This window comes from Homo sapiens, chromosome 2, assembly GCF_000001405.40.
Source record: "Homo sapiens chromosome 2, GRCh38.p14 Primary Assembly".
NCBI lineage: Eukaryota > Metazoa > Chordata > Mammalia > Primates > Hominidae > Homo > Homo sapiens.
In genome coordinates, this window is record NC_000002.12 from 180,966,127 (window position 1) to 180,986,100 (window position 19,974).

Genomic DNA, 19,974 nt, shown 5'->3' on the forward strand with positions numbered 1-19,974 from the left:
AGGATGTTTTGTTGTTGTTCTAATGGCAATCTCCCTATTTTTAGGCAACTCCAAAATCTGCACACTAAAATAAACAAAATGCAGTCAGTATATAGTTTCCAAATGCCTGACCATAGAATGAGGCTGGCATAGGATATTTTTAATTGGTCCTTGGATGAAGTGAGAAAAATAAAGACAATGTAATGAGTTTTTTCAAAATTAAATTTATTTATGTATTTGCTCTTATATTTCTATTATTATCTTGTAAAATTATATATGCCACTGTCGTGTTATAATTTTAAGCAATAAGTTTAGAATAAGGCAGTAAAATTAAAAGCTAGCAATTGGTTCCAGAACTTTTTGGAACTTTTACTGGTCTATTAAATTCCTAAGTTTAGTAACCATTTACCTAATGCAGATAATCACGAGAATTTTTCTACCTTATTAATTGTATTAGTTACTTATTGCTGATGTAGCAAATTACCACAAACTTACATCAACAGTGTATTATCTTACTCTTTTGTAGGTTAAGACGCCTGAGGTAGATCTCACCAGAAGAAAGTTCACTCACTTTTGGAGGCTCTAGAGGAGAAACTCTCTCTTTCCTTTTTCCAGCTTCTAGAAACCTCCCACATTCCTTGACTTATAGCTCCTTCCTCCATCTTCAAAGCCAGCAACAGCAATTGAGTCCTTCTCAAAACACATCTCCTTCTTTGACTCTATACTTCTGCCTCACTTTTCCATTTTTAAGAATTTTATTATTAAATTAAAATTTTAATTGAGTTATTTAACAATCATATTCAACAGTTTGATAAATATGACTAATCTTAAAAATTAGTGTTTTTTTGTATGTGCTTTTATCATATTTCATAAAATTGAAAATTTGATTCTAAAGTATGTCATTATTTTATAAACTTCTAAGAAAAATTGTTGTCAATTAAACAATAGCTCACTATTAAATCAAATTAAAAATTTGATTCTAATCAAATAATGAATCATTGTTTTATGTGCTACTATGGAAGAAAAGTCACTGCCAGTTAAACTACGATGATTTTTTTTTACTACTTAGAATTGTTACTTTATGTTTATTGAAATAATTTTCTTCAGCTTAATTGGACTTATATTTTTATCATACATCATAGCAATATGAAGAGCTACGGCCAAGTTCATGCAGTCACAGGCAATGACAACTATATCACCAATGCTGCCTGGCTGAGAGTGATTTAAGACATCATTGATTGGAAGGTATATTTTTATTTGAGAGAAGTTAAAATGTGCATGTTAGAATCAATGACATTATATATTACGGAGACTGTTAGATTATGTTGATTCTTGATTCCCACTCTTTGGTAGTAACTGAGATGGTTCTGGATGGGAGGTGATTTCTGCTTTGCTGGGAAACACATTGCACATGTTTCCTGTTTGGTGCACAGGACAGGGTTCCTCAGTTAGTGAATAAGCCTGGTGGATTATGCACTCAACTCGCACAGCTATGAGTGCACACTCGTGCAGAAACAGACACTCTCCTTGCCATCTGATGCCTAAATTTAAGTATATGCAAAGATTTCCTATAGCCTAATAAATAGCAAAGGTCTACCATGGGTAGTTACAGAAAATAGACATATATTCCCAGGGAGAAAAAAAAAGCAGGTTTTCAAAAAATCTGTTTGAATAACTAAAAATCGCTACCATTTATTCAGGGCTTACTACATGCCAGGCACTATGGTAAGAATTCTGTCAACATTTCCCCCATTTAATCTCCCACAACTAACAACCTTACACAGACGATGTAAATATAATCCTTTTATAAATGAAAAAAGTGAAACTCTAGACTAGGTAAGTGATGTGCTCCAGGAAACATGCTAGGAGGGGGCAGAGCTAGGTTTTGAGTCCTGGTTTGTTTGAGTCTAATCAGTGTACTAGACAGTCTTCTATATTCTACATTGATTATATCTAATCAAATAAATAACTGCTTCCAACTTACTGAAATTACATTAAAGTTGGAGGGAATTTTTGTATCTCTACTATAACTCACTTTTCTTACTGGATAACTCTAAGATACCTCAGGAAAACATACTTTATGAAAATGAATATAATTAAGGAATAATAGTAGAAAGCATAGATTTATCTTTTTTCCCTAAATTGAGAATGACTTAAAAATCAATTTCCCAAGGACACCTGTCACCTCCAATTACCCATTTGAAAATTATTCATTCTGCCTCATGACTACACAATAATGTGTATATTATACATCAAAACCACTTTTTTGAAAAATGATTAAACAAATTAAAAATAGTTCTTATATGACCACAGAGGAAATCTATAGGAAAAAATAGTTATCATACATTAAAATACAGGGGCAAGTGATTTACTGGTGTACTTCAGATCACATTTCTATAATTTGTAAATTTATTCTTTCATGCAATAGATGGAACTGAAGTTAGGATGTTTCAATAAATCAGAAAAAAAACAGCCTAATAATCTCTTTCTATACATCACTGGTCTATGGCAATTTGAACAGTCACTAATGTTCATTCTTTAATTTAGCGAGTAGATATTATTTTCTTACCATTTTTCCACAGTACTGATTCTTCACATTCCTACCACTAAGTTACATAAAGCAATGATTCTCAACCTTGACCATACATTGGAATCACCTAGGAGAGCTTAAAAAAATATTAATGCTGGGGTCTCACCCCAGAGCTTATGATTTAATTGATTGGGAGTATGGCCTGTGCATCAGGATTTTTAAAAGCTCCTCAATCATCCCCAGATGATTCTAATGTGTAGCCAAAGTTGACAACCACTAATATGAAGAGTTAGATAATCAAAAACACATCTGTCAGTTTGAGAAGGAAGGCTGACTCAAATAGCTTAACAGTGATACTTTTGAATTAGCTACAGATTTCTTTGTGTATATTATATATGTTCTTATAACACCATAGATAATGGAGACTTAGTTATGTTGCCAAATACACTAGGCATTTCATGAACCAAAAAATATAACCAGATCCTTATCTGATTATAACTTTGCTCCTAAAATTATCTTATTTGTTTTTAGAATTATATAACAATTTGTGTTTGGATCATACCACCATAAAATCCACTACTACTACTGTCTTGGGGGTGTACGTGGGAGTGTGTAGTAAAAAGGTTTAAAATTTATAACTTGCCATCTTGGGCAGCAATCCTGGCCAAGTTTCTTAAAAGACAATTTGATACACTAATAAAACTTCTGCCAAAATAATCTTTTACAGAGCCAAAGTAACTTTAGGTATGATAAGCTGGCCCCAATGCATGAACTTATGAAACAAACAGACAGTAACAGGCTATCTGTACTTCTGATATTACTGTTTTCTTGAAAAATATACATAGAAGAAAGTAAGATTTTGTATAACAAGTGGTAGAGATGCCCCCAAATAATACTTTCTATTCACATGTAACTTTATAATCTGTAAAGCTTCTTTACAATAAAATTCCTTATTTGGTTTCTGTGGTTATTTAAAGTCACTTGACTCCTTGGTAATGTTCTTAAATAAATATCTTTCCAGCTCAAGTGGTATACTAATAAGGTAATTTAAAAGAAAATTCATGATTGGTTGATGAGAAGCTGTCATGATGCTGTCAAGAAAGTTAAGGTAACTCACTATGATGTTTATATGTAGCATTATTGCAGTTTCTAACTAGCACATTTACCTCTGGTTCAGATTATACATCAATACTCCACTTTACCTAGCTCCTTTAATATTATGCCTTCTAAATAGACAATTGGCAACTACAATAGCAAATACTCTGTAAGAGGAAAATATGACCTCTTAAGAGGAAAGTGTCATCTACTGGGACTTGATGTCAGCAAATGAATATTCATTCAAATAAACATCTGTTACTTCCACAAGCCACTGCAGTAAATCAGTTTTAAGAAGCTGTACAGAGATGAATACCATATCACCTTTCCTCACCCCAAATCAATCTCTTTAAACTGGGATCCCTGTTGTCTGGATTTTACATTGCACATACCACATTAAAACACATTGTAGCTAGGCAATACAGAGCCTGTGCATGTGCTCCTGATGTCAGTCCCCGATATTGGTTTTAACTTACTTAATATTTGCAGTACTCAAGTTACATGTGTTTGTCAAGTTATGTGGTTGAGATTGCTGCAGTGTCAGTCCTCATTTGTAGTGTCTTTAACAAACAAGTGCTTGTTCCTGTAGCAAACTGACCATCTGTGCACACACACACTTATATGTATATACGTATGTGTATACATATTATATATATATTTGCACTCTGTTCGATTAGAGTAAGTACACTCAGATTAAGTCATTAGTCCAAACACTATTTGTGCCACAGTAGACACAGATGCCTGGTGATACTGGGAATTTTCCCCAGACAACTCCTTTAAATAACTAACAATTATTTTTATATACTCACAGTTAAATGCACAAATAACAGCTTATCAGTGATTTAGTGTTCTTTACAGAAACTCAGAGATTTCAGCATTCTATAAACTATCCCTCAGCCTACATTAGGCACACATGAACTTCTTGTTCCCGTTATAAAGTGAAGGGTCTAATCAATGTTCCTAAATCTAAATGGTGGATTTAAAAAAATGTAAAATAAATTGTTAAATTTTAATAGGAAATGCTTTGTATTTAAGATTTGGCCATATCTTCTAATATTGAAGTGACAGAGTACCAAGATTTATTTTTCATAATCTCTTACTTTTTATAGTCCACTTGGGGACACTACTCTTCTGTTAAGAGTCACTGACCTCCATGTTCCTCACCAATAAGAAATCATTTTTAAGTTACTTCAGTTGTTTTCTTCTAATGTAAGTGGAGTGTGTGACGATATAGACATTTGATTTAATAAATATTTTAAAATTTAGCTCAACATTATAATCGCCTAAATGGGATAGTAGAGGAAAGGGACAAAGAAAGGAAATGTCATAAAGAGAATGAACTAGAGAGAGTTTGGTAGAAGAAAAATTGCCCGGGAAGACCACAAATTGTTTCTGATTTTTACAGGAGCTTCTTTAAACACATTTCTTCCTCATTGGACAGTCACTGTCAATCCCACTATCCAAAGGCTGTCCAAAAGCAACCTCCTGGGGATGCCTGAAACCACAGCACTTCCCCACTCTTCACTGGCTGTCAACATCTCCAGGCTGTCCTAGACATCTCAATCCTTTCATGCCACTGTGGGGCCAATGATGCTGTTAATTTCTTCTCCTCTTTCTCATCTCTTCACTTGGAATGCCACTTTTTTCTTCAGAAATGGCAGCGCACAGCAGCCAAGAGCATGTGTTTTGGGGCACAGTCCAACATTTACTAGTCATGTAATGTGACCTCGGGTATGTTGCTTTCTTTCTCTGTGCCTCAGTTTCTTCATTTGTATTTATTAACATATAATAATTGGGGTTATTGCGGGTATTACCTAAGTCAATGTATATAACAGACAGCATAAAAAACAGTAACTGCTACAGACTTGTTTGCTATATTTATTCAACAAATGTTTACTAAGCTCCAACAGGGTGCTAGGAACTGGGGATACAACTGTGATGGTAGCAAGTGAGTGAGAGAGTCCAACATCTGAAGTATCCCAGCTGAAAGGTTGAATTCTGAATTCTATTTTTTTAAAAAAAGATAACCTACCACAATGTGAAAATAATTAAACTGCTGCTATTTAACCACCATATAATTATCCTTAGAACTTGTTTTCTATCTACTCAACTAGTCCCTATTTCTTCAGAGACTGCTCTGTGTGCATGCATGCGTGTGCTCATGTGTGTGTTGATGGACATGTCACCTATATTCAAAAATACAGTTTTCTCTCTGCAGGACTAGATATTACAAAACACAGTTTTTTCATTTGTTGAATAGGTACTCAATATTTGTTTGCTGAGTCAGTATATAAATCTACCTTTCATATGCTCTGGCCTACTCTCTAATGCATTTGAAGGTAGCAAAACAATTCCAAGGGGCTACTTATTACCTAAAGAATAGGTAAGTGAAATTCAGCCATTGTCTTTTAGGTAGGAAGTTCCTGTTTTTAGACCTTGAGGCCATCCCTCTTAAACTATCCTCCTAGATTATAAATCCTTTAGAGCAGAGATGCCATCCTATTTTGTTTGGCACATATCACTCTAGAGCCTTTGTACTATACAAAGTCCTTTAAAAGGACTTTATATATTTATTATATGAACAAATAAAGTCTCAGATATGCATGTAATTGTATTTCCTAAGTTCAGTTTTATGGGACTTTTTGTGTGTATAGCAAGAGTAGCCATAAGGTAGTAATAACTTTGTTTTTTAAGAAATTCTTCTAAGAACAAGAAAAAAATTAAGTTTAGAATTAATCTAACCAGAAAGTTGAAATCTCACATGATAGAAACAACCTTATTAAAAATGAAAAATGACATCAATTATTTTTTACTCAATTCTAAACAACTTGAATTGCTGATGTATTTTTTCCCATTTAAATTGACAGCTGGTTTGGATACACATATGCTCATATAGCCAAAATAATGGGGAAAAGGTGGCGCTGGTTATGGTATCCTTTACATAAGAAAGACATTCTAATTTTTAAAAGCTAAATTGAATTTTAACAGTTAATCGACTCATGTGGATACATATGGACTTAAATCATCACTGGCATAAGTGGTGCCTTTAAGCACTGTTAGTTTTGTTGTTGCTGTTTCTGTTTTTAAAGATGCTAACAACCATGTTAGTTAATTCAGTGTGTTCAACATTATTTATTTAAACAAGAGCATAAATCATAGGGATTCCAGAATTGGAAAGGACTTTCAGACTCTTCATTTTACTGATAAAGAAACTGGCATCTAGAAGGCTGAAGCATTTTAACTAGGACTTAAACTTAAGATGCTGGGTTTCTGGGTCAATGACCACGATGTTTTGATAAAGTAGTAGAGAAAGTTGGACCAAATGTATAACAGTTTTATTTTCCATCAGTTCTTTTAAATTGCTCTGCCAATGAGTCTGAGATTGATTGAGGTGATTGATTTTAATCTTAACTGCCAGACTTTAGCTTTATAGAACACAGAACTTGATCTCTTCTACGCAGACATTTTATTAAGCAGGTTAGAAAAACTGTGCTGCTCTGCTACACTTTTAGAAAATAGCGTAAGTCTACAGTCCAGTACTCATTCTCTGATCATGATCTTATTAGAAATTGGGTGAGAAAATGTGGTCATTGTTCTCCCTGACATTTATCTCAGAGGTTAGAGTCATATACCAAACATCTTTAATTTATTTCACTGTATGAAACTACTGTCCTTTAATTTCTCTAAATACCTTTCAATTCCTGTATGCTTGGCCTATGCTGTCTTTAATGAAACTGGCTCCATAAATATATTAGGCAGTGTGAAAAGATAATTTTTCTTGTTGTTATTATTCCATAACATTTCCTTCAGTTGGCTCTCTCTGAGTGTGAATGAAGGTAACTTGGTCTCATTCAAGAATTATTTTACTAAATATTATATGCCACGTATGCCAATATACTGTCTTAGGCACAAAAAATGGATATGGGACCTTCCCTCCTTCTAGTAGGGGGAGAAAAATATTGCAGAAATAATCACACAAATAAATATTTACTTATAAATTGTGATAAGTCTTATCAAGAATATATAGGATGATTATATAGAGAATGATTATTACAGGATTACTGAACTTATACTACCATATTAGAGAAGGTCTCTTTCATGTTTATGAACAAAGATGCAAAAAGACTGTTAAAGTTATAATAACTTTCTGATGACAGTCTTTTGACAATCTCTACAGGAGCTGGTGACTTGGGAGACTGGACTCTGTGCCCTGGTAGATAGGACAGCATAGCAGAATGGGCATAGAATTCCAAAGTGCTTTGCACAGTTCTGTCAAGAGCTACCTTTAAGACTTTAGGAAAGTGATTTATTGTCTCTAATCCTTAATTTCATCGGTAGAAAAAGTCTAGTACCTCAACATCCTTTTCTGGATTATTAGTACTGATACTAAGTGGTCATTCCTTTATGAATCTAAGTTGGAGATGTTCCTTACCTCTACCACACAGAACATATATTCTTTTTGAAAATTCTGTATCACTGTTTTTTTAACTCATTCACATTACTCTGGGATATTTACTTTGTCTGAGTTATTTTGGGATATTATAATCCAGAGAAGTTAAAATCATATACACTTTGATATTTTACTAGGCATAAAAGATTTTTGAGATCTTTATAAATTATAATGAGCCTTTAAAATGGACCTGAATAAAACTAAAAGTCTTACTCTTGAAACAGAAACATTCTGTAAAAATATTTTGTTTTACTACTTTAGTTATATAGATGTTCAACTGGCACATAAGCCTGATTATCATATCAAATTAAACTACTTTATTTGCAGCCCCAAAAGAAAGCACACTACTCCTTATTGAGTCTTTTCTAATTAGATAACCATTTATGCAGTATGGAAGAGGTAGCCAGAATCACAAGCAATCAGGCTACTTATTCCAAAATAATTGTTTGCATATTTCTTCCAAATCTCTATTATACATTTTTCATCCATCATGGATACAACTTTGTTTTCTGAAGCAGAAAGGATACATTTAACCTGATTTTACAGAAGATGCTATAAGACATCTCAGAAAAATTTAAGTGACAATGTTAAGTAAAAATATAAGTTAAAAAATGATGTATGACACTTTTGTTAGTCTTTTTAACTAAGCAGGACATGAGCTGATTTCATAGAAAAGGATTTTCTGACAAGGAGGAATTGATAAACTGTTAGGTATAATACTCACCATTTTATATTCATGTATCATATTCTATCGAGTGAATGAACCATAATTTACCAAGCATAGTCCTTATGTTGGACAGTTTGAGTGGTTTCCATTTTTATATAGTATAAATTATACTGGGATAAACACTGTCAGGCATATAGCATTTAAAAAATATTTTGGATTATTTCCTTAGGATAGATTCCCAGAAGTAGAATTACTAGGTTAAAAGAGTATGAACATTTTTATGATTCTTGTAACACATTGCCAAATTGCTTCCCAAAAAGGTTATATCAATTTACAATGCCATCAGCAATATAGGAAAGTGCCCTTCTCATAATACTCCTCCAGGTATTTGGCATTACGGTTTTTAGATTTGCAAATTTTGAGGGCAAGAATGTTGCACCTCATTTTAATATATATTTCTTACATTTTTAAAGGCAAAGATAAATATTTTTACATGCAGCTTAATAACTTCGAATTTCTAACATGTTCTTTAACTATTTTGATATTTTTATAAGCCTATTCAGAATTATATGTGATATATACTAATCATTATTCATAGTATTATACAAACCATTTTATCTAGCCTGTTGTTTCAACTTGCTACATGTACATGGTTCCTTTAGGAAGGCATATTGAGGCTTCAATTTTTGTATCTGGTCAAATGCGTTGTTTCCTGTAATTTTTTGTGTTGTTGTTGCTTTTTAGCATAGTATATCCTAACTCTCTATCTCTGCATCATGTACTCAAATTATTCTAATTTTCTTAAGTAGTGACTTTTAAAAATGTTAACTCTTGAATTCACTTGTAATTATGTTGATGTACGAAATAAGGCATGATTTTAAGTGACCTTTTCCATATTGGTAACTAGTTATCTCAGTCATTTATTGCATAATACTTCTTTTCTGTATGTTTTAGGTAAAATCTCATCTGTTACATAATTAAATGATCTAATTCTTGGTTACTTTTTTTCAGTGATCTATCTGTCCTTGAGCCAGAGCTTATTGTTTTATTTAATGTGTAGTCTCTTCACGTGACTTTTTTCAGTATTTAAAATTGGTTTCCCTATTTTTTCTTACATCAAATTTAAAGTCCTGACAAATTCTAAAACAGTTTGCTTGAACTTTCATCATTTCTTTTAATTTATGTAAGAACTTATTTTAAAAAACTGTTAAAACAAAACAGCATTTATTTTTGCCAAATCTACACCCCTGCATTTATTCACATCTTTTTTCCCCTCATAAAAGTAGTACCTGCTCATTAAACTAGAAAAACACTGAATATAGTAAAAAGAAAATAAAGTTGTTCATATTCATAGTCACTCTAAAATCTAGGTACTGGTCAACCTTTTGTTTTCAGACATTTTTGTTTTGCTTATTGTAAAAATATGATGCATATTCATTCAACAAATATTTATAGATGATTTACTTTGTGCTCGGTACCTTGAGAGGTATTGAGGCAGGCTCTGATTTCCCAGTAACTAAAATAGACAAACTTCTACCTTAAGTGTATTTTATAATAATCTGTTTTTGTATTTTAGCTTGCTTTTCACAACTGTTATTTTAATAATGGCAAATTTAATTATGTGGGTGAATCAGTATGTGTAATCATTTGCATATTGTTGGACATTTCCAGTTTTTCAGTATCATTTTTCTCACTTTTAGAATGTTTCCTTGAAGTACATTTCTTTTGAAATGGAGAAATCTGGTCAAAGGGTATGGCCACATTTAAGGCTCCTGAAAAAAATTTCCAAATTCCTTTTCGAAACATGTACCAATTTTCATTCCTACTAGAAATGGACAAAGGGATTTTTTAAAAAACAATTTGCCAGGAATTATTATAATAACTAAAAATTGTTTTTGTTATTTTGATAGATATTTCATTTCAACTTTCCTTTCTGGATAACTAGCAAGACTACATTTTTGTTATAATGTTAAATATTTCTTTAAAAATTTTTGCCTTTTGACATACTAAGGTGCTCACGGTTTTGTTTCATGTGTACAGGCTCCTTACCATGACATGAGCCTTTTTTGGTATATACCTTCCCTGAGAGTTATCTCAAAAGAGAAATACAGAAAATAATCACTGAGTTATCTGACGTCAAACCAAGGCTTATGCACCTTTCCAACTCCAGGGCCCAGCCCTTGGTGTAGGACACAGCAGGTTTTCCCCTCAGGATGCAGTGGAAGTGCACCCAGATGTCAAGCGGCACATTGGATTCTGGGGGTCCAAAGACACTGGGACTAACAATGACAAACAAGGCTGTGTAAACTAAGGCTGAGCCAAGAAATACCTTCCTAGTAAACCAATCCAGTCTTTATGGGTAGAGAAAGAAAATTTCTTAGCCAGAGAACTGAGGATACAAGTAACTGGAAAGCATCAGAAACAGCCAGTAAAAATGAAGGGACTCTTAGAAAAGTTATTGACTGGAAGGAAACAAAGTACCTTAAAATCAACAAAATAAATTCATATTTATTCTACATTTTTTACATGTGAGGGATGCTGCTGGTCATGGTGGATAAGTAGAGGTCTATACCCCAGCTTACATAATCATTCAATTCAGAAACTTCTTAGGTAACTCAGTGATAGATCCTGTGAAATTCTTAGTTATACATACTCACAGTTATGTACACAGATAACACTGAGACTCATTGAAAGGCGCAGGAAAAAGCATCTCCCAAACTAGGGAGGTGCAAAGGATTCTGGGGTCTGCCTTATTTGCCCTTAGGCAGGCCTCTTTTTGTCACAACATTTGGTGGATAAGGGGATAAGAGATAATCATTGTAATACTGCAATTGGATTCGGCATCTTCCCTCTTACCACTGCCCTTCTCAGGGTTGTGAGAGGCTGGCAGGACCCCACACCAACAAGAGAAAATAAAAGAGACTGAGAGGAAACAATCTTCTTTGTGGTAGCTGGTGTCTGCTTGTGGAACTATTCTGAGGGACCTTATGGGAAAAGGGCCCTTTTTATATTTTATGAAATAATTGCATTAGGTCAAATTTGTATGCTTCCAAGAGTGCCTGTGAAACATGATCCTTAATTTCAAGGATTGACATAGCAAAAACAAGAGAGAAAAAATAATTACAAAACAGGTTGTCACACAAGGAAGAACTAAACATTAGAAACAATTTACACCTTACAAGTTACTTCTGGTGGAGGTGATGCCAAGTCACCTGGGAGAGGAGCTGTGAGCTGAAATCATTTGAGCAACCCCTTGAGTCAGCTGAATGAAGGCAGCCAGGCACCTCACATTGTAGGGGCAGGGCACTACTGCCCCTAACCTTATGGAGCCATTCATTATCTTTACGGTGACTTTAACAATAGGTATTATTTGTTGAACACCCAAATTCCAGGTATTTTGCCAAGAGCATTATCTATATTATCTACATTATCACTGGCCCTAGTGCTCTCTCCAGGACCAATCTAATGTTTCCTTCTTTGACCTTTACCTCATGCCCCACAATTCCAACCTGAATTAATAGTTCCATTATTAGTTAATTGATGATTAGTAATGCTCTTTTCTCATTCTCTTTACTTCTTTAATACAGCACTTCTCATTCTGCAGGCTACGTTTCTGGCTGCCCCACTGCACAATTGAGCTTGGTTAAGAGCATGACCCATGTTTCACTCCAGTTTCCCAAGCAGTTAGTAGATCCTAAATATTCTGTTGGGTGAATGTTAAGTTAAACTCCATGACTTCAAGTTCGCCAAAGAATCACGGAATCATGGAATTTTTGAGCAGGAGAGGACTTAGAACCTTTGATACAATCTCCTTTTACATAAAAGTAATTGAAATAACTTAACTTGCCTGAGGTCATATGAACTTCGTAGAATGAGGATTAGAATACACTTCCCTGGCTTTTCAACCCAATACTATTTCTTCTGTAGAAGATGTTACCAAACAACTAAATATCTTTCTCCCCTAAGCTCCTTACCCCACTAAATCCTATCAGCAATTGGCCTTTGGGCCTTCAGGCTATTTCTGTTCTTAAATTTCCTAAAAGAACCCATGTTTAACGTACAGCTTTCCTTTTCTGTCTCCCCATTCCAAACAAAGCAAAGCTTCAACTCCAAATTGGCTGGCTTTTGCTGTAACATCACATCGTGTAAAGCTGGGGGAAAATTCTGCTTTTATTTTCACTAACAAGCTTTTCCCACAAGCACTCTTTGACCCAGCCAAATCAAAATGCTTGTCCACACACAGACCATGATCTTTTTTGAGGCATGAGATATTCTATCTGTTCATTCTGAGTGGAATATCCTTACTACTTATGAACCTAGCGAACTTTAATGAACTGTTCCCCTTCTGGACTAGGAGCTCTTAGCACAGAGTAGAGACCTGGCTTTAGTCACACAGCAATTGAATGAGTGTATGTCCAGCACCTAGCAACATATAGCCCTCAATAAAGTTAACTGAATGACTGTGTCTTTGGAAAATTATGGAAATGTAACTTACTCTTTAGAGTTGCTATCAAGCCTTTACCAAAAGTTTTCTATTAGGAGAAATAGTAAGCAAATACGTTGGCTCACTCAGTCTTTTCTTCTTTCCCTTAACTCTATACATCTTTTGACTGCCATTCTCACTCCCTTTGTGAACTGCACATTCTCACAGCACCCCTGCCCCTGGACACTTGTGGGAGAGGAATCCACAAATTCCTTTGAGGCTCCATCACCGGAACAAGTTCTCAGTAGCTGGAGAAGGCCTGGGTGGCAAACAGGAAGTTTTTGTATTCTGGCTACTTTGTGCCGTGGGGTAAAAACCGCAGAGTCCACCTGGAGACTGCAAAAAGAATGGTAGAACAAACAAAACTGTCACTATCTCCACCTAAAGCTTTTCTGGGTGGACATTCTGACTCAACATCACTCAGAACTTTTCTTTCCAGAACTGGCTCCTCATGTGCAAGACAGAAGAGTCCCGCAGAAAAGTGTCATGTTTTAGCTCTCATCGCCACCCCCCAACCCCAAACTCTTCTCCTTCACTTTTAAGAATGTTGAGCGGGACATTTTAAACACTGTTTTGGATTTTTAAGGTTTCAAATAATCCGAAGGACACTTCCCTTTGGCAGCGACAGTTGCAAGCTATGAGCCAAAAAGAAATAGAGGTTGTTCCCCTAATCTCCAAATACATTCTACCCTCTTCAATTCCCAGGACCCCAACTTGTCCCTTCCTCCAGCTTACGCGAGGGGCAAGTGGCAGCTCTTCTCCGCCTGCGTGCCTGGCCTCGTCAACAACACCCATTAGTCTCCCGTCTCCCGGGGCGGCGGGGGACTCCCAACCACGCGCCCAGGGCCCTTGCCCAGGTACTGGGGCCCCGGGAGCCACGACGGCCCCCGCGCAGGCGGATGGGATGGAACCAGCCCTGGGGACGCGGGTAGCCCAATGGGCAGCCTCGCCCCGGAGGCGGGCCCAGGCCGGAAGCCACCCCGCGGCACAGCGGCCCCGCGATACGGTGCCCGCGCCCCCGCCTTCTCTGGCACAGGCTCCGCGGCCAAGGGCGGCAGGGGCCAGCCCGCCGGGTCCCCGCCGCGCTCTTTGTCCTGGCCGCGCGCGGGCGGACGCGTGCACCCCCAGGGTGAGGGGAGGTGTGGAGAGCGCGCACGGGAGCGCGCGGGAACAGCTCGCGCCCGCCGGGCGTCGGCGGCGCGCGCCCCTCCGCCAGGCAAGCAGCGAGCACGCGCGTCGCCGCCGCGCCCGCCCCTCCCCCCCGCGCTCGCCTCGGAACTTGCTGACTGCGCGGCCGGGAGGAGCCGAGCCGGGCGGCGGCGGCGGGAGGCTACAGCGCGCGGGGGTCTCCCGCGTCCCCTCCGCCTCGCCGGGAGCTCGCGCCCTCGCCCAGCCGAGCTCCCACCCCCGCTTTTTTCCGAAGGCGCTGGGCGGCGCCACCCTCCGGCCGGAGCCCGGCACTGCACAACCCCCTCCGACTTTCAATGTTCCACACTCCCCGGCCAGAGCCTCCTCGGCTTCTTTTTTTCCCTCCCCCCCCTTCCCCCCCCCACAGCTGCCTCCATTTCCTTAAGGAAGGGTTTTTTTCTCTCTCCCTCCCCCACACCGTAGCGGCGCGCGAGCGGGCCGGGCGGGCGGCCGAGGTAAGGCGGCGGGGCCGGGGGGCCGCGTGGGGGGCGGCCGGGGCGGCGGCGGCGGTGGGGGAGGGGGCGGGGGCGGGCAGCTTTGTTCGCGCCGGGCGCCCGCGTCGCCGGTGTCCGCGAGCCGCGGCGGGGCCGGCTGGGCTGCTCGCATCACTTGGCGCCCGGCGCGGCGAGCGCTACCCGCGGCCCCCGCGCGGCCCTCCCCACAAAGGGCCGCGGAGCTGCGTGGCCGCCGCCGCCGGCCGTGGCTCGCCTCCGCGGGCGCGGAAATTTGTTGCACTTCTTGGGGCTTTGTTTATTTGTTTGTTTTTTCTCTGGGTTTCTTATTTTTTTCGTTATTTTGGACAAAATGTCGGTCCGTGATATAAAAATTGAGCGAGGAACCTTGGTGGCATTGGGAGCTTTGCAGAAGGTGCAGTTTGAATTCTGCTTTTCCCAGGGTGGCAGCTCGGTCTTGGCCGGATGAATCTTCGCTGCTGGCCGTGGAAACAGCTAGAGCAGCTCGTTAGTTGATTTTTAAATTTCCAAGTGTTGTGTTTAAAGGCTTTACGTGCACTGAGGAGGAATCGCCACCTTAAATAAGCATATGGGCGATTAACAGGGTGTGTTTTCCTCTCGGAAAGGGAATTTGGTAGCTTTGACCAATGTCAGTGTGTAAATATTTAGACGTTATTAGTGACTTTTAAACATTTTTCAGCGAGATCTGTTATTTACAGTGTGTCATATGTTATTAATGCTTGTTGCCTAAGTTCCTTGGCAAATCTGTTTCATGCCTTCTGAGAAAGTAGACAATTGATAGATTGTCCAAGAGACGGAAAAAAATGTGAGTGGGTTTTCTAACTTGAGTTCGGCAAATCCCTTAACGCTGGCGTTGTGTGACACATCACCTCCCTTGTACGTACCCCTGTTGTACGATGAAATAAGTGTGAACACTTTTGAAGCTTTTTCATTACAAGACGATTTTAGATGACTAGAAGAAAATGCTGTTGGTTTATTTCCTAGATTTAACATTTTCTCCTCCTCCTCCCCTGTTCTCTTTAAAAGTTTTCCAAGAGATAACTTCACCAAGATGTCCAGTGATAGGCAAAGGTCCGATGATGAGAGCCCCAGCACCAGCAGTGGCAGTTCAGATGCGGACCAGCGAGACCCAGCCGCTCCAGAGCCTGAAGAACAAGAGGAAAGAAAACCTTCTGCCACCCAGCAGAAGAAAAACACCAAACTCTCTAGCAAAACCACTGCTAAGTTATCCACTAGTGCTAAAAGGTAATGTGTAAAAGAAGGATCCAGCACACTTTGTCAGGTTGTCTTCCAGGTGGTTGGACGCTTTTGTTGGTTTTACCTCAATAGCAGTAGTTCAGAAATATTTACTTCATTATCAGTTTAATTGTACTTGAATGAGTTGTCATTCTTTAGGTGGTATGTAAGCAACATTACTAGAATTATACTTTTAAGCAAACTTAATTCTGTACTTCGGTAACTTCAGTTAAGAGTGTCCTTGAGTAGAGATTAGACTAACATTCTGACAGATTGTTTAAGGAGTTGGCAAGGAAAATTTGGTGAACCCAAATTAGATGGTACTTTGGGGATGTTCCTTTTATGAGTCATAATCTTCTTTAATGAAATTGACACTTCCAGAGATTAGCAGTGCCTCTCTTCATGAAACTTAATGATCAGAAATGATCATATTTGCTAGAAAATTTGCAAATTCAGGCCTTTGCTATATTTGAAAGCAGATTTAAAATTGTGCTGCAAATCTGCTTACAGTTTTACAAAACATGACTTTCAATCGTATATCACAGGTAACTTTCCTGGTTAAATTATGATTATCCCTTCCTGTGCTTGTGAGGGCAAATCAAACTGAAAAGTAGCCCTTTACAATTTGAGGTGTCACTAGTGATAGAAAACTTGCATTGTCCTTGGGCCTCTTCACTCTGAAACTTGTGGATGTGCTTGACAAGTTAATACTCAACAGCAGGAGAAACATATTTAATTGGATGTAAGTGAAAGATCATTTGTTTCCTATTGATTGATGTTTTCTGATGGAGAAAAAAAGATTCTGTCAATGAGACTCTTATCAGTGGTAGTAGTAGTGGAATATCCACAAACTCTAGTAATTATACATAAAATGTATAATGTTTACAGCATTAACCAATTTTGACATTTTGTTAATTTTTATTGATAACTAAAGGAAAAAGAATATAAAAACTGATCAAATATTGCATTCTGTGGTGATTCATAAATACTCATATTTTTCTATGGATTTTCACCCTTATTGTCTCAGTAATGAAGTATTAATAACTTGATAATATTTTTGAATGGCAGCAGTCTTTGACATAATTTAAAATTCTCAATTTGGTATAGTGTTGATGCGGAACATATTAGACACATCTAAAGTTTTGAAATCATCTTAAATTTGAATCAAATCAGAGAACTGCTTTTCTCCCCCTTAACTCAGGCCTATGTATTTTCTCCTCTTTCTCTCAATGTTTATTAAATTTAAGTGCTGTACCTAAAATCAGGGAAAACAGAAATGGTTAAATTAGAATGTCAAGTAGTCTTTGAAAGTTTTTCACAAGTAAAGATATTTGTAAATTTTAAACTTTTTTTTTGACAGATAAAATATTGTCAGAACTGTTAATGTGCTCTTGCAGTAGCCTGTTAATTTTTACCTCAGTAAAAGTCACTTCAAGTCCTTGTCAAATATTCCAGTGCTTTCCCTCCTCCCTTTTTGTCTCATTTGCATATAAGCTTGAAAAGAGAATTTCTTTGGTAAAAAGTGTTTTGAAATAGATATTATATTCTTTACTGAGTACTAGTGGATGAGTATTTCTCCAATCAAGTGTAAATGACTTACTTGTTTGCAGCAGCAAGTGAGAAAAAAAGCTGCAAAGTTTCTGTTAAGGGATTTGGGTTATGCCTCTGAGAACAAAGAGGAAGCAGCCATGTTAGCATTACTGAAGGCAGAGCCAGCCTTGCATTTAACTGCATGGTGGTAGAGGGCAGTGTAATTCCCTGGTTATTCTGTAGACTATATCAAATCCTTTTTGTCTCTTCTCATTTCACTAACAGAATTCAGAAGGAGCTAGCTGAAATAACCCTTGATCCTCCTCCTAATTGCAGGTAAGAAATGAATTTTGTTGTTTTGGTTTCAAATTGTGGAAAAATACCAAGAGATTGATGTATTGTCTGGATATGTGTGCAGCAGAGGAGACAACATTTGCTTCTTTACAGCTTTGCAAGTGCATTAAACAAAAATTGTAGAAGGTGAACTAGATAAAATTGGGAGAAAAAATACTTTTTAGCATAAGTATACATTGTGGATTTATGAATATACTGATTTTGTGCTTCTGATATTCATATGAATGGTGCTGATTTTTGTTCTGATGTATTTCTGTAGAGGGTGTTTTTTCAGAAGTATACTGAAGAAACTTCTAAAATTTTGCTAAGCTTTAAAGTTACTGCTTGTGTGTGCAATCTGAACTGACCTTCCACATTTAGAAATTGCTGAATGTGGTGTTACAAAATGTAAATGCAGTAAATAAGCATATAGTTGGTTCTGTTTGATTTATTCAGTTACTAGCCTTAAGGACAAATTTTATGGGCTAAGCTAATGGTTTTAGTGGTCGTTTTCTACAGAATGCATTGTTGGAATTATTTACGTTTTAAGCAAATGTCCTAATTGCTTGGGAACATTTTTAGTAATTTTGGTGGTTGGAATATGTGTATGAAAAGCAGTAAATGAATTGGAATTGTGGGAATTCATTTTAGTGGAACTCAGGTAGATGAATTTAAGATTATTGGTTGGTATAAGATACATTAAAAGTAGCTGGTTGATTATTTTTTCTCTAATAATTTTTTTCATTTCATTTGTATAGCGCTCTATTCTTTTTTTAATGACTATGGCTTACAAAATTGAACACGCATAGAAAACAATATTGTAGATAGTTTGTGAAGAGATATGTGCTCAATAATGCGAGTGGCTGCAAGGAATTAGGCAGTTTTATGGTTTGATAGGACAATGTTTTCATGTTTAACCTGTATTTTTGCTACAAGTTGTATTCACTTGGGATGATCAGACCCTGTCTCTGAAGTCTGCTTGTGATATAATAGGGTATAATCCAGTTGCTTCTTATTGTGTATGTTAACTGGATCCTCAGATAAGGTGATTTGATCCTGATTTATCCGATGAATGAACAGTTTGCTTGTATTTGTAATTTCAGTTCAAACAGGAAACATGAATGTAAACTAATTTTAAGGAGATGGTGGTATGTGAGATCTCAAAGTATTACTTAAGAGCTATGCTGTCCGGTAATGTAGCCACTTGCCACATGTGGCTATTGGCCTCTTCAGTTGTGGCTAGTCCAAAATGAGATGTGCTATAAGGGTAAAATTTATACACATTGGATTTTAAAAACTTAGTACAACAAAAGGATGTATAATACTGCATTGACTTAAAAAAAGTTCATTAATATTAAAATAATATTTTGGATATATTTGGCTATATAAAATGTTAAAATTAATTTCACTTTTTTACTATGTTAATATGTTATTAGAATATTTAAAATTACGTATGTGACTTGCATTGTATTTCTATTGAACAGTGCCGCTTTAGAGAACAAGTAAATGAAAGTATTTTCCCTCCAGCCTTCTAAATGGTGTGTCAAATCTGTAGCCATTTAGGGAGGTCAAGTTAAATTTGCTCCCTGGAAGAATCACTTAACTTGCAGAGTGTATTCTGATATTTCCCATTATGAAAAATGTAAAGATCTATCAATTCAGAACTCTTAAATGTTTTAAAATTGCATGTAGGGTCAAACATTTTTAAAGGTTTCTGTTGATTGTCTGCAAATGAAACAAACTAATGTACGTGCATAAATCTAGAGAGCCTAGTAGACATGTATTAAGTGCCCTCAGAGCAATAGCCTAGTGTTGCAGTTGCCAAAGAAATCTACTTTACATGTTTAACTCCGGAATGTTTCCTCAAGGTCACTGAGGATTATTTTAGAGGGAGTAGAATCTTTCAATGAGATAGGAGGTTTCACTTGTCTTTCTCTTTATATACCAGATTTCATTTAAGTCCTTGAAATAATGCTTCCTCATTTAGTGATCAGACTAGTGAAACATCAA

General features: G+C 37.1%; 1 protein-coding gene and 1 long non-coding RNA gene across 7 annotated transcripts in view, besides 1 other annotated feature; one reads left to right on the top strand and one right to left on the bottom strand.

Annotated features, from left to right (window-relative positions):
• Window positions 1–11,203: 11,203 nt before the first annotated feature.
• UBE2E3-DT (UBE2E3 divergent transcript) lies at window positions 11,204–14,886 on the bottom strand. The gene is made up of 2 exons (NR_187176.1): window positions 13,940–14,886; window positions 11,204–13,540 (listed from the first exon to the last, which is right to left on the bottom strand). It is a non-coding gene; the product is annotated as a UBE2E3 divergent transcript (long non-coding RNA).
• Window positions 13,897–14,756: a silencer, noted in NCBI's record as "silent region_12155". NCBI's record gives its function as "represses an Ori minimal core promoter by ATAC-STARR-seq in GM12878 lymphoblastoid cells {active_cell/tissue: GM12878}" and the evidence as "EXISTENCE:reporter gene assay evidence [ECO:0000049][PMID:35858748]".
• The window catches only part of UBE2E3 (ubiquitin conjugating enzyme E2 E3), an 83,066-nt gene continuing 77,325 nt past the window's right edge, over window positions 14,234–19,974 (top strand). For 2 of the 6 annotated variants that reach the window (NM_006357.4, XM_017003167.3), the window contains exons 1-3: window positions 14,479–14,847; window positions 15,892–16,110; window positions 17,917–17,967. In NM_006357.4, coding sequence (NP_006348.1) covers window positions 15,917–16,110; window positions 17,917–17,967 — 245 coding nt within the window. In that variant the 5' untranslated portion in view covers window positions 14,479–14,847; window positions 15,892–15,916. Of the gene's footprint in view, window positions 14,421–14,478; window positions 14,848–14,931; window positions 15,352–15,891; window positions 16,111–17,916; window positions 17,968–19,974 lie in introns of those variants that run through there. The other 4 variants (NM_182678.3, NM_001278555.2, NM_001278554.2 and 1 more) reach the window with 4 other exon arrangements.